Raw genomic sequence first — 12,980 nt, 5'->3', positions numbered from 1 at the left:
CATTGGACCCACCTGCTCCAGGGACAGCTCTGGGGGGAGGTCAATGGTGAAGACCTGGTGCCCCAGGAGGGCCTGTGCCCCCCAGTCCCACCAGCCCCACCAATGTGTCCATAGTGGTCACCAGGATATCAAAGTACTGTCAGCCACATCATTCACAGATTCTGTGTTTGCAAATGTTCCTACTCCCTAAAATTCATCTGTAATCCCCAAATGCTCGTGGTCTTCCACGGCCATTCACAGATAGGCTCGGAGGGGCAAGATCTTTGGTCAAACAGGGCCAGGCTCCACTTCTCGTTCCAGCTCCGACTGTAGATGGGGTCCCCTGGCTTCTCCTTCTGGCCCCGACTGTATACGGGATCCCCCGGCTTCTCGTTCTGGCCCTGACTCTACACGGGATCCCCCGGCTTCTCGTTCTGGCCCTGACTGTATACGGGACCCCCCGGCTTCTCGTTCTGCCCCTGACTGTTTACGGGCTCACCTGGCTTCTCGTTCTGGCCCTGGCTGTATACAGGGTCCCCCAGCTTCTCGTTCTGGCTCTGAATGTGCAGGGGGTCCCCTGCCTTCTCCATCCAGCTCCGACTGTACACAGGGTCCCTACTACTGCTTAAGTGGCACGTTGTCTACATTTTTGTGCTTTTTGTGCTTTGGTGATTTCAATGTTTAGAACACACCAACCACAGGCTGAGGTGCTGTCGGTACCCAGGGCACAAGTGTCTGAGATACGCCTCGCAGGAAATGCGTGTGTGGAGAAGCTTGGCTCCAGCATGGGTCATGGAGCTGTTGGCTCTAAGAATCGTCAATAGGTATTAAATAAGGCATCTTTATGCAGAAACACATGGAAAACCAAGTTACCTATTGAGGGGCTGGGGAAAGCCTGTGGCCAGAGGCTCCCCGGAGCCCAGAGTTCCCCCTGGAGCAAGTGCTCAGCAGCCACCATTCAGCATCCACGGTGTCTCTAGAGCCAAAACCACTGCAAATGACAAGAACTGACTGTATTTCCCTGGGAAGCGTCAAGTGAATGCTGCCTGGAGGCCCCTTCCCTGCAGCCTCCCAGCTGCCTGAGCCCCCCCACTCAGTCCCCTTGCGTCCCCACAAGTCAGCAACTAAAGGTTGAGGCCTGGCCGGCTCGGCCCCACTGTGGGGTGAGGCTCAATGCCCCCTGATTATGGCAGCCCTGGCCCCGCCACTCCCACACCTGGTGAACAGAGCTGAAACCCCAAATACCCCTTCAAGTGTGCGGAATTCCTAGGGATGTGCGTTCTGGACCCTCCCTCTGCCTGTGCCATCTCAGACTCTCCTCCTGGTGGGAAAGTCTCTCTTTCTAGTATTTTCCGTGAAAGCCCTGCACATGCGAGGCGGCGTCCTCCGCACAGCTCTCATGAGTGTCCCATGGATTCCACCGAACAACGGTGGTCCAGACTTCCCGTCTCACCGACTCCACCCTCTCCCCACCCTCCTTCCCTTCCCTTTTCTCTGGACTCACACCCACTCCCTCAGAGCAAGCAGTGCCTCCTTCGCACGCCCCGCCCTGCTGGATGCTGTAGCTCTGGCCCAGGAGGCAGTGGAGCCTGGTGTCCGGCTTCAGTGGGGCCTCGAGACTTTCCTTCAAAGACAAGGCTCTTCCCACATTCTGCGCAGTGTTGTAGGGTGAATGCCGGGGCCAGGGGTTTGGGCCCAGCCAGGACCAGGATGGTGCTGCCTGGCTCTGCTCCGTTTTGTGTGGAGACCAGGACCTTACAGCAGGGCCCTCGAGGGAGTCAGAGACTCGGGTCCGGCCCAGCAGAGCCCGTGAAGCCTTGGGTGGGCTTGTCTGTGGCTCGGCATCTCTGTCTCTTCATTGCGGGGATGGGGAGGGAGATCCCGCCTCTCCTGTGGGATGGGGGGAGGCAGTGCCCTGGCACCCGCTTGGAAGGGATCCATTCACCCACCTCAGGCGGCTCTCCAGGTACATGCTGTGAACACATGAGGCGCTGGGGTAGATGGCAGGAAGGCAGGACAAAGTCCTGTCTCTTGCACGTTGAGGGGAAGCAGAGAGCGTAGCGGAGGGGATGATTTTAGATGGTGATGAGTTCTGAGTTCTGGGAGGAAAATGAGGCAGGGAGGAAAATGAGGCAGGGACTGAGGTGCCGTCACCGGGAATGGCTTCAGGTTAGAACCTGGGAGGTCTCCAGGGTGCAACCCAGAGCTGAGGTCCGAGTGAGGGCAGGAGCCAAGGCCCCGGGGCAGGAAGCAGGAGCGTGGCTGGCATACTGTGAGTGAGGATGCGACCCACGAGGGCTGCAGGGGCTGGGGGGGCCACAGCTGCCGTGAGGAGCCGGAACCGCAAGTGCAGCAGGATTGGGGCCCATGGCTCCCAGCAGGGGAGCGGCTCTGGAACCCTCTACAAGCTCACACTGGCTGCTGAATGGACAACTGAGGGTGTGGGGACAGGAGGGGATGGGGAAGCAGGGGGGAGGAAAGGACTGAGCGCATCTGGTCTCCAGGGGTGCCAGCACAGGTGTGGACGTGGGTGCTGTGGATGTGTGCGCCATGGATGTGGGCGCTGTGGATGTGGGCACCGTGGATGTGGGCGGTGTGGACCTGGGTGCTGTGGATGTGGGTGGTGTGGACGTGGGTGCTGTGGAGGTGGGTGGTGTGGATGTGGGCGGTGTGGACGTGGGCGCTGTGGTTGTGGGTGCTGTGGATGTCGGTGGTGTGGACGTGGGTGCTGTGGATGTGGGTGGTGTGGACGTGGGCGCTGTGGTTGTGGGTGCTGTGGACGTGGGTGCTGTGGATGTGGGTGATGTGGACGTGGGCGCTGTGGTTGTGGGTGCTGTGGACGTGTGCGCTGTGGACGTGGGTGCTGTGGACGTGGGTGCTGTGGACGTGGGTGCTGTGGACGTGGGTGCTGTGGTTGTGGGTGCTGTGGATGTGGGTGCTGTGGATGTGGGTGCTATGGACGTGGGTGATGTGGACGTGGGTGCTGTGGTTGTGGGCGCTGAGGACGTGGGCGCTGTGGACGTGGGCGCTGTGGATGTGGGTGGTGTGGACGTGGGCACTGTGGTTGTGGGTGCTGTGGTTGTGGGTGCTGTGGACGTGGGTGCTGTGGTTGTGGGTGCTGTGGATGTGGGTGCTGTGGATGTGGGTGCTATGGACGTGGGTGATGTGGACGTGGGTGCTGTGGTTGTGGGTGCTGAGGATGTGGGCGCTGTGGACGTGGGCGCTGTGGATGTGGGTGGTGTGGACGTGGGCACTGTGGTTGTGGGTGCTGTGGTTGTGGGTGCTGTGGATGTGGGCGCTGTGGATGTGGGTGGTGTGGACGTGGGTGCTCTGGATGTGGGTGCTGTGGACGTGGGTGCTGTGGATGTGGGTGATGTGGACGTGGGCGCTGTGGTTGTGGGTGCTGTGGACGTGTGCGCTGTGGACGTGGGTGCTGTGGACGTGGGTGCTGTGGACGTGGGTGCTGTGGACGTGGGTGCTGTGGTTGTGGGTGCTGTGGATGTGGGTGCTGTGGATGTGGGTGCTATGGACGTGGGTGATGTGGACGTGGGTGCTGTGGTTGTGGGCGCTGAGGACGTGGGCGCTGTGGACGTGGGCGCTGTGGATGTGGGTGGTGTGGACGTGGGCACTGTGGTTGTGGGTGCTGTGGTTGTGGGTGCTGTGGATGTGGGCGCTGTGGATGTGGGTGGTGTGGACGTGGGTGCTCTGGATGTGGGTGCTGTGGACATGAGCTTGTGGCTGTTTCTGCCTCTGCTTCCTCCTCCTGTGCTGTCTATTCCTGGACTGGGCAGAGGACAGCACAGAGAACAGCCTGTTGGGTGGCAATGGCTCCGTGCCCATCACCCCAAGACACAGCGCGTTGGGACGGCCTCGCTTACTCCCATGGTGCCGCAGGGGTGGGGCCGCCTCTCACTGAGGGTCCGTGGCTTGGCCGGTCCGCTCTGCATGGCGAGGCCTGTCCTAGGGCCCAGGCTGGGCAGTCATGATGGGGGCTCTGTGTGTGGTGAGGGCAGACGGGGCAGGCACCTGGCTCTGCAAGGTCCAGGCTGGGAACAGGGACATCATCGCTTGGGCCCTCTTTCCACAGGCAGCTCAGAGACCAAGCCCTGAGTCAGGGAGGTGGGAAATTGGCACCCCTGATGAAGCCACTGCAGAGAGCAGTGAAGCACCATGGCCAGGAACGTGGGTGCTGCTGGCACTGGTGTCCCCCGAGCAGCTTCTCTCAGCAGCTATGGGACGGTGACAGCACTGACTCCACCAGCCAAGGAAGAAGATCGGATCTGAGGCAGCAAAAGTTCCTTCACCCCCAGTGCACGCCCAGTGCTGGGCTCAGGACCCCTGAGCTCCATCTCCACCATCTGCACAGTCCTGGGACGGGGACTCAGTGGTGACCCGCCTGTGACCAAGGAGGACCCTCAGCCAGGAGAAGTCAGGCAGCTCAGTGGGCAGCAGCGTCTGGACCAGGGGCTGCTTGGTTCTCTTAAGCACAGACGCAGCAGTGAGGGGAGGCATGGAGCCCCGGGTGGAGGGAGGATGGGAATGGCAGCGTCTCTCTTCAAAACACACTCATTCAGAGGCCTGGCAACCCTCACTTCCTCCGCAAGGAAGCTGTGAGCAGCAGCGTGGCTGGGGTGTCCCCTAACCCCCATGCAAGTGACGGGTGACCACAGTGAAGGCCCAGCTCCTCCACTCCTTCTGGCCAATGAAGCAGATTCAGGCAAAGCAGGGGGCGTCTGCCAAGTCCCCTTAGCTGTGTAACGTGACACTCACCGGTTCCAGGGATTAGGGTGTGGACAGCTTTGGGGCTACTGCCAACCACATAAAGTAAAACCAGTTTGCCATTCATGCAAGGCAGGGGCGACTGGAGAGCAAGAAGCCTCTTTTGGGATTAAATATATGACAACAAAACCAATTCAATGGACAGGCTAGTTGGCAACATGGCACGACAAAAGATCAAGCCGATGAGATGAAAACCAAGAGAATGAAAACGGAGAATGAAGCGTTGGGAGGCAGGAGATAAACCGGGAGGGGAAACGTTCACTTAACAGGGGTTACAGAAGAGAAAACAGGGATGGCAGATGGGAATACAGTCACATCATTAACAGAGCAAACTTCCTGGAGCTGAACGTTGGCATGAGTGTGGATTGCCACGCATGACTGTGATTCACGGCAAGATATGCCCTGACCAAATCTAGGATCCCAACAACAAAAAAAATCAGTTTCCAGAGACAGGCAGAAACAAAATGCCAGTCTGAATAAGAAAGAGGGTCCTGCTGACCTCAGAACGCCGGGCATTGGGCAGCCATCTGGAACCATGCTCAGCCACCCTCCTGCCGGGTCCAACGCTGGGCATCAGGCAGCCGTCCGAAACCACGCTCAGCCACCCTCCTGCCGGGTCCAACGCCGGGCATCGGGCAGCCGTCCGAAACCACGCTCAGCCACCCTCCTGCCGGTTCCAACGCTGGGCATCGGGCAGCCGTCCAGAACCACGCTCAGCCACCCTCCTGCCCCCAATGCTGGGCATCGGGCAGCCGTCCAGAACGACGCTCAGCCACCCTCCTGCCGGGTCCAATGCCGGGCATCGGGCAGCCGTCCGGAACCACGCTCAGCCACCCTCCTGCCCCCAACGCTGGGCATCAGGCAGCCATCTGGAACCACGCTCAGCTACCCTCTGGCCAGGCGGCCAATCCCCACCTGAGGCCTGAGCCCCACGGATGATGAGGTGTCTCTCTCTCTCGAGTTAGAAGCTGCTGTGCCTGCCTCTGGGAGACATCCAATTCCAGACTTTCCAAAGTGAAAAATGCAAGTGCAGTATCGATATTTTAAAATAGCATGATTACGTATTTATCTCACAGGATTAAAATAAGAAGGGGAAGTGATTTGTGTCATTTTTCAATTCTACGTCCAATCTGTATCCTTCAGTCCTACATAAATACGGACACTTTGTTTACTCATTTAAAATGGAATATTCCAGAAAGTCCAGAGGTTCCGGGAGGCTCAAAGCCTCGGCTCTGCTGAGGGGAGAAAGCCACTCACTGCCCTGTGGGGGGCGGAGGGTCACAGACTGGAATCTTCCCAGGGCATCGGTCCCTCCCTCCCCATAGCAGGAATCCTACAGAGATCCCACCAGGCTCCAGGAGCTGGCGCCGCGAGAGAAGGTCCCCTCCCAGGCGGGCAGTTGTGGGATATTAGCATCGGGTATTTCACAAGTTTGTGTTTCCACTGGCCTTCCTCCGAGGACCAGAGACCTCTCTGTGCAAGCTGACAAAAGGCAGCCCAGCCTCAGGGGTCCATGCCGCCTCTTTCTGGCTTAAAACTATTGCCCAGGCACCCGCCCCCAAATCCAAGATGCCCCAGAGACTCCCAGCTCAGAGACAGCCAATGGTGCCATCTTTGTGGGGAGACACCCCTCTCACTCCCGTCCCCCTGGGAACAGCATCTCCAAGCCGCGTCTGCTTGCCCAGCACAACTGAGCACCTAGAACTTTCCCTGGCCCGGCCCCCTTGGGCACCCATTCCACACACCCTGACCAAGCTGCGGAGCCTCCCTGTCAGCCCAGAAGTTCCACCGGCTCCTTTCCAGTCGACACTGCCCCACCCCGGGGTCCCCGTCCTGCCCCGATGGCCATGGGGTGGGTTGTGATTCCGTCTGTTCTTGAACCTCACGCCGGCGGCCACACGGGATGAGGTCTCCTGTGTTGATCTTTGGCTTGGCGTCACGTGTGTGAGCCACGTCTCGGCTGCTGCCTGTGTCGACGGCTCGGTTCTTCCTACCCCAGAGTAGCAGCACGCATGTGGATGTGTGTTCAGCTCAAGTTACACAGGCGGATGGTGTCAAGGGCTGGTGGGGATGGTGGCGGCGGCATGGCGTTTAAAATACCTAATCTTAGAGCCGTTGCAATTTTCGGGTTAATATTTTTAACATTAGTAGGCCTGACCATCAGAGCAGTTTCGGGTTGATAGAGACTGAGCGGAGTTCCCGCATCCTCTGCCCCGCAGGCACAGCGCCTGGGCGTGAACGTGTGTGACTGTGTCACTGTCGATGAGCCAATGCTGCCCGATGCAGGAAACTCACTGAGGGCCGTGGCTCACGGGGGGCTGGCGTGCGTGAGTGTGACTGTGTCACCGTCGATGAGCCGATGCTGCCCGATGCAGGTGACTCACTGAGGGCTGTGGCTCACGGGGGGGGGGGGGGGCGCTCACTCAGTGTCACACCTGCTGTGCGTTTGGACAATTGCGTAAGAACAAGTATTGGCCAGTGCAGTGACTCACGCCTGTAATCCCAGCACTTTGGGAGGCCTAGGTAGGTGGATCGCTTGAGGTCAGGAGTTCAAGACCAGCCTGACCAACACGGTGAAACCCTGTCTCCACTAAAAATACAAAAATTTGCCAGTTGTGGAGGCCCACCCATTTACTCAGGAGGCTGAGGTGGGAGGATTGCTTGAGCCTGGGAGGTCCAGGCTGCAGTGAGCTGAGATCATGCCACTGCACTGCAGCCTGGGTGACAGAGCAAGACCCTGAATCAAAAAATACATAATAATAACAGATATCCACCATTGCAGCATCACACAGAGTCCACTGCCTTCAACGCCTCATGTACCACCCATTCATCCCTCCCTCTTCCGCCTGGCACCGCCCTCTCACTCCGCGCACAGCCTTGCACTTTCTGGAATGTCCTGAGCTGGCAGCCTGCCATCTGCAGGGAGTTTGCTGGGCTTGTACCGGGGGAAGCGGCCGTCGGGGAGAGGGGCGGGAGGGGCGTCTCCTGGGTGCAGACGCAGCGTGTCCTGGGCCTGCCTGACCTCCCTCTCTTCCTTTCCCCCAGGCCTTGCCAAGCCCATCGGCCTGGTGGAGGGGCCAGGAGGCCTGGGCCAGGGTGGCTTGGCGGCCACCCTGCGTGATGACGGCCAGGAGGCGGAAGGCAAGTATGAGGAGTACGGCTACAACGCTCAGCTCAGCGACCGCATCTCCCTCGATCGGAGCATCCCCGACTACCGGCCCAGAAAGTGAGTGAGTGACTGCCCCCCATCCCCCGACGCCCGCCGAGGAAGTGACCGCCCCCCACACTGGCCAGGGAAGTGACTGCCCCCCACGCCGGCCGGGGAAGTGAGCGGCCCCCACGCCCGCCAGGGAAGTGACCGCCCCCCACGCCCGCCGGGGAAGTGACCGCCCCCCACGCTGGCCGGGAAAGTGAGCGCTCCCCCGTGCTGGCCGGGGACTGCCCCCACGAGCTGCGGGCTCCTGGGAGAAACGCGCAAAGGTCTGCTGTGGGAAAGTGGAGCAGTCAGGAGCCCCCACCTGTGGGGCCCTCCTGCCTCCTCTGTCTTCCCTGTCTCTCCTCCTCTGTCTCTCCTGTCTCTCTCTGTCTCTCCCTCTCTCCTTCTCTCAATCTCTCTGTATCTCTCTCTGTCTTTCTCTATCTCTCTGTGTCTCTCCCCCTCCCCTACTTTTGGCTGCGGGCATCCTTCCCAGGGCCTAGCCCCAGGCTTGGGGCACTCCTGCCATAGCTGCATCTGGGGATCACGGAAGCTGGGCTGAGGCACCATGGCTCACGCAGCAGAGGCGCCCTGTGTCAGGCCCTGCCAGCCCTGGTCCCACCTGCTGTGGCCTCAGTCACTGCTGAGCTGGGTGTCGCTTGTGTCTGAAGCGAAGGGCATTCCCGTTCCATCCGTGGCCTGCGCACCTCCCATCCTGTCGCCCCCAGGCTGCAAGAGCGGGTGAATCAGGAGCCGGGCCCTGGCCGCCACGGCTTTGCCTCAGTGCCACTCAGGATGGAGCTTGGTCGCTGACCCTCACACCTGCCCTGAGGGAGTAGCCGCGACAAGCGCCAGATTAATTGGCATTGTTGCTCGGATAAAGTTTGGCTGAGCTTGGCCTCTGGGCCTGGGAGCGACTGGCAGGCTTGGCCAGCCCCTCCTGCGTCTCTGTCCGCAGAGCCCAGCCCGCGACAGGATGCTCCCTGGGAGGGCCCCTGGTGGCATTGTCCTGCAGAAGCCGGGCGCTCAGGGCTGCCCAGTGGGGCCGCGTTTCACCGTGGGGTGGTGGCAGGTGGCCTCAGCCACACTTGCCTCCTCCTGGAGCTGCCTGAGGGAGGGCAGGCAGGAGGGCAGCCCCCTCTGCAGCTCCTGGTGTGGTCAGCCTGCCCCACCCGCCAGGGAACCCTGACACCGGGATTCTTGGGCCAGGAGCTCATTTGAGATGGGGATCAGGAGGCTGGCAGGGAAGAGAGGGGAGGAGGAAAGGCGTGTCTCAGCCCCATTCCATTCCTTGTGACTCAGGCAGTGGTTCCCAGGGCGTTCACTCACCTGCTCTGGGGTTCCCCATGTGTGGACAGAGGGAGGCGAGATGCTGGACAGGCCCGCAGGGTCCAGGGGTGCAGGGAGCGCCCCGGGCTGCGTGGAGGTTGGTGCAGGAACCCGGAGCTCCCTGTTCTAGCCAGGTGGGGCCCACTTCACACCCTTCCCACAAATGCGTGCTGGGGACTGATTCTAGGTGTGATGAAGCTTCCTTAGACAGCACGGCAGTGCGAGTGAGGCGTGCCCAGCTCCCGAGGCTCTGATTCCTCCTGGAGGGGGTTTCCCCGAGTCCTTTAGACAAACAGGGCTGAGGCCTGGGCATGGAGGCTTGGACACCTCAGCCACATCCAGAGTGTGACAACATTATTTTATTTTCATTCTACTTATTTTCATGGTTACCATGATTTAACACAAGTGATGCCAGCTTTCCATTTGCAGCGGTGAAATGAAGATTCCCTTTCAAATAAAAAATGCATTTAGTTTTAAAATAGGCCAGTTTAAAGAAACATGCTCCATAAATAAGAACACAGTGGTGTTTTCATGTGGCGCCAGCTACAGGCATGGGGCTGGAATGACTTCGGTTTGGAAAGCGGCTCGTGTGTGTTAGCCAGCCTGTGCACTGAGGGTGCACGGTGTGTGTGTGTGTGCGTGCGCGCGCGTTGTGTGCGGGTGGGTGTGGGTGTGTGCGTGTGCACCTGCATGTGTGCGGGTGTGTGCGCATGTGTGCATGTGTGCACAGGAGTCTGTGTGTGCACGTGTGCACACACATGCGTGGGTGTGCGTGTGTGTGTATACGTGCGTGTGCGTGCATGTGCGTGGGTGTGCGTGCATGTGCGTGTGTGCATATGTGTGCGTGTGTACATGCGTGTGTGTGCATGTGTGCACGTGTGTGTGTGGTTTTTGAACGCTCCTGTGTGTCCTGAATTTGGGGGTGAAATCTGTTTGCTCTCAGGGCTAGCCCCACTGCTGGAGTGAGCACCGTTCTTGGCTGTGAGCCTCCAGGCAGCTGTGTGGCAGGAAGACCCCCGAGACCACCTTGACGGTCCACAACTTGCTAGAAGGACAGACAGAGCCCAGACAGGCTGCTTTTCCCTGCTGTGGGTTCTCACAGCAGAGGACATGGGTTAAAGTCAGCAGAGGGAAGAGATGCCCAGGCAGGGCCCAGGAGAGGCCAGGTGCGAGCTCCCAGGTGTCCCCTCCTGGGGGGGGGTCCCATGGACTTGATTCTCCGGCACCCATGTGTGACAACACGTGCCAAGCGAGGCCAGCCAGGAGCCCCCGAGCCTCGGTGACCATGGTCCTCACTGGGCTGGTCTCGTGGACATGGCTGACCTTGGTCTCCACCCTCCAGAGGTCAGGCTGATGCCGTGAGGCCAAGTGCCCACCGTGAATCCCACCATTGCACAGACCAGCTGGGGCTGCCAAGGCCAGGTGAGCAGGGCTGTCCTCTCCGGCAGGAGGTTCCGGGGCAAGGAGGGGCCGGATGTGGGCGCTCAGGGTGTGGAGGAGCCAGCTGCCAAGTTAACCCTTTCCTGCTCACAGCAACAGTGGAAACATCAGAGCCATCTGACAGAGGAAGGTCTCCAAGTACCCCGCCCCGTCCCCATCATTCCTCCCGTCACCTGGGAGGCTTCCAGCCGTGAGGAAGGCGCGACCCGGGCCCTGCTCTCCCGGCCTGCCTGTTTTATCTCCTAGCTCTTGCTGTAAGGGAGGAAGGCTGCGTCCGGCACTGGTTTTCGAATCCCTGCAGGCCCTCGGTCCCCTGTGGAGTCCTCTGGAGGATCCCAGCACCGCTGTGCGTGACCTTGGTCTTGTTGGCCGGCGGGGGCCCTGTGCGTTGTGGGGTCCAGTCGTGGGGGCCGGGTCGTCTCTGAGTCAGGACTGAACCCGAGCTGGGGGTGAAGCCCTGTGTGACCCTCTGCGTCCCCCCGAGGTTCGTTTTCCAGAGGCCTGGGAGTCTGGACCCGGCTGCTGAGCCAGTGCAGGGTGGGGCGAGGGTCTCTCGGGTCCCATCCTCGCCCCATATCAAGGGGTGGCTTTTCTAGCACAGACGTGGGCCTGCGTGTCACAGACGGTCGTCATTTGCCTCCTGAGGTCCTGTCCCGGCTCCAGATGGAAGTCCACACCCCCCGCTCTGATCCATTTCAGCCCAGCTGCAGATCCCGCCGCCCAGGTCTAAACCAGTCAGAGCGTGAAGGTCACCCCAGACCTAGGGGTTGGCTCAGGGCTGGTCAGGTGGTTTAAGCCAGTCCAGTCAGAGTGAATTCTGGAATTACCAGCGGGCCATCGAGAAAAAAACAGGCAGCCTTTTCCCACAAGATGAAACCAAGGCTGGGAGCTGGGGGAGCTGCAGCAACCTTATCATCAAGAGGGGAGAGCTTGGAGCTTCCAGGGTCCCTCACGAAACCCAAGAAGGGGCCAGTGTCTGAACACCTAGATCCAGCTGTTCCCAAAACAGACCCACTTGACTTTGCAATAAATTACCACATGCGTGCACACACACATGCACACGCACACACACGCATGCACGCACACACGCACACACACGCACACACGCGCACACACGTATTTTTAGTTTTTTCTTTAAGCACATCTGAATTGGGTTTTCTGTTCTTAGAGCTGCAGGGGTCCCATTGGATTCCCCCTCTGTGGGATGTGGGACCCCAGGCCTGGCCTTGCTGTAGTGGAGCTGATTCCCCCTCTGTGGGATGTGGGACCCCAGGCCTGGCCTTGCTGCAGTGGAGCTGATTCCTCTTCTGTGGGATCAGGGACCCCCAGGCCTGGGCTTGCTGTAGTGGAGCTGATTCCTCCTCTGTGGGATCGGGGACCCCCAGGCCTGGCCTTGCTGTAGTGGAGCTGATTCCTCCTCTGTGGGATCAGGGACCCCCAGGCCTGGGCTTGCTGCAGTGGAGCTGATTCCTCCTCTGTGGGATCGGGGACCCCCAGGCCTGGCCTTGCTGCAGTGGAGCTGATTCCTCCTCTGTGGGATGTGGGACCCCAGGCCTGGGCTTGCTGTAGTGGAGCTGATTCCTCCTCTGTGGGATCGGGGACCCCCAGGCCTGGCCTTGCTGTAGTGGAGCTGATTCCTCCTCTGTGGGATGTGGGACCCCCAGGCCTGGGCTTGCTGTAGTGGAGCTGATTCCTCCTCTGTGGGATCGGGGACCCCCAGGCCTGGGCTTGCTGCACAGTGGGGGCTCTTGCTCTCCTTTTGAGGGTTCAGCATCCTGCTGCCTCCCCCCAGGTGTAGGTGGCCGCTGCTGTAGGAAACCTGTCTGCCAAGATAAAGTCTGGCAGAAGTGGCCAGTCCCAGCTTTGTTTTTACGTCACAGAGAACGACATCGGGATGAACCTTGACAGAGCCGGCATTTGCTCTATACCCTCACTGATAGAAACCCAGTTTATAGATACTCTGGTTTGAAGGCACACAGCTCTCTGCCTCCTGAATTAGAGAATGTGAATTTTATATAGATATTTACACATGTATTTATATCCCATTTCTTTCCCAAAAAAAGTGAGGAGGCTTTGACACCAGTGACACACACACTCCCACACCCAGCCCACCCCTGCACACGTGGCTGAGAAGCTCGAATGCGAAGGAGGCCTCCTGGCCCCTCGCCTGCCCCTCACGAGCCCTGCCCACAGTCTCTGAGGCTCCACGCCCAGCCTGGAGCTTCCCCGGTGCCTGCGGAATGTATCACAGGGAATT

At 59.8% G+C, this 12,980-nt stretch overlaps 1 protein-coding gene across 1 annotated transcript in view, besides 3 other annotated features; it reads left to right on the top strand.

The window, feature by feature from the left end:
• The window catches only part of GALNT9 (polypeptide N-acetylgalactosaminyltransferase 9), a 133,218-nt gene that overhangs the window by 35,356 nt on the left and 84,882 nt on the right, over positions 1 to 12,980 (top strand). Inside the window, exon 2 of the mRNA NM_001122636.2 lies at positions 7,804 to 7,984. Within this exon, the coding sequence (NP_001116108.1) occupies positions 7,804 to 7,984 (181 nt within the window). The remainder of the gene's footprint in view (positions 1 to 7,803; positions 7,985 to 12,980) is intronic.
• Positions 6,578 to 7,777: an enhancer, noted in NCBI's record as "P300/CBP strongly-dependent group 1 enhancer chr12:132863043-132864242 (GRCh37/hg19 assembly coordinates)". NCBI's record gives its function as "activates an origin of replication core promoter dependent on BRD2, BRD4, P300/CBP, MED14 and CDK7 cofactors, with strong dependence on P300/CBP, by STARR-seq in HCT116 cells {active_cell/tissue: HCT116}" and the evidence as "EXISTENCE:reporter gene assay evidence [ECO:0000049][PMID:35650434]".
• Positions 8,496 to 9,149: an enhancer, noted in NCBI's record as "H3K27ac-H3K4me1 hESC enhancer chr12:132861671-132862324 (GRCh37/hg19 assembly coordinates)". NCBI's record gives its function as "activates a minimal SCP1, AML or CMV promoter by ChIP-STARR-seq in naive H9 embryonic stem cells {active_cell/tissue: H9 hESC(naive)}" and the evidence as "EXISTENCE:reporter gene assay evidence [ECO:0000049][PMID:30033119]".
• Positions 9,804 to 10,457: an enhancer, noted in NCBI's record as "H3K27ac-H3K4me1 hESC enhancer chr12:132860363-132861016 (GRCh37/hg19 assembly coordinates)". NCBI's record gives its function as "activates a minimal SCP1, AML or CMV promoter by ChIP-STARR-seq in primed H9 embryonic stem cells {active_cell/tissue: H9 hESC(primed)}" and the evidence as "EXISTENCE:reporter gene assay evidence [ECO:0000049][PMID:30033119]".

The sequence above is a fragment of the Homo sapiens genome, chromosome 12, assembly GCF_000001405.40.
Source record: "Homo sapiens chromosome 12, GRCh38.p14 Primary Assembly".
NCBI classification, from domain to species: domain Eukaryota; kingdom Metazoa; phylum Chordata; class Mammalia; order Primates; family Hominidae; genus Homo; species Homo sapiens.
This window is presented reverse-complemented; position numbering and strand designations above follow the sequence as displayed.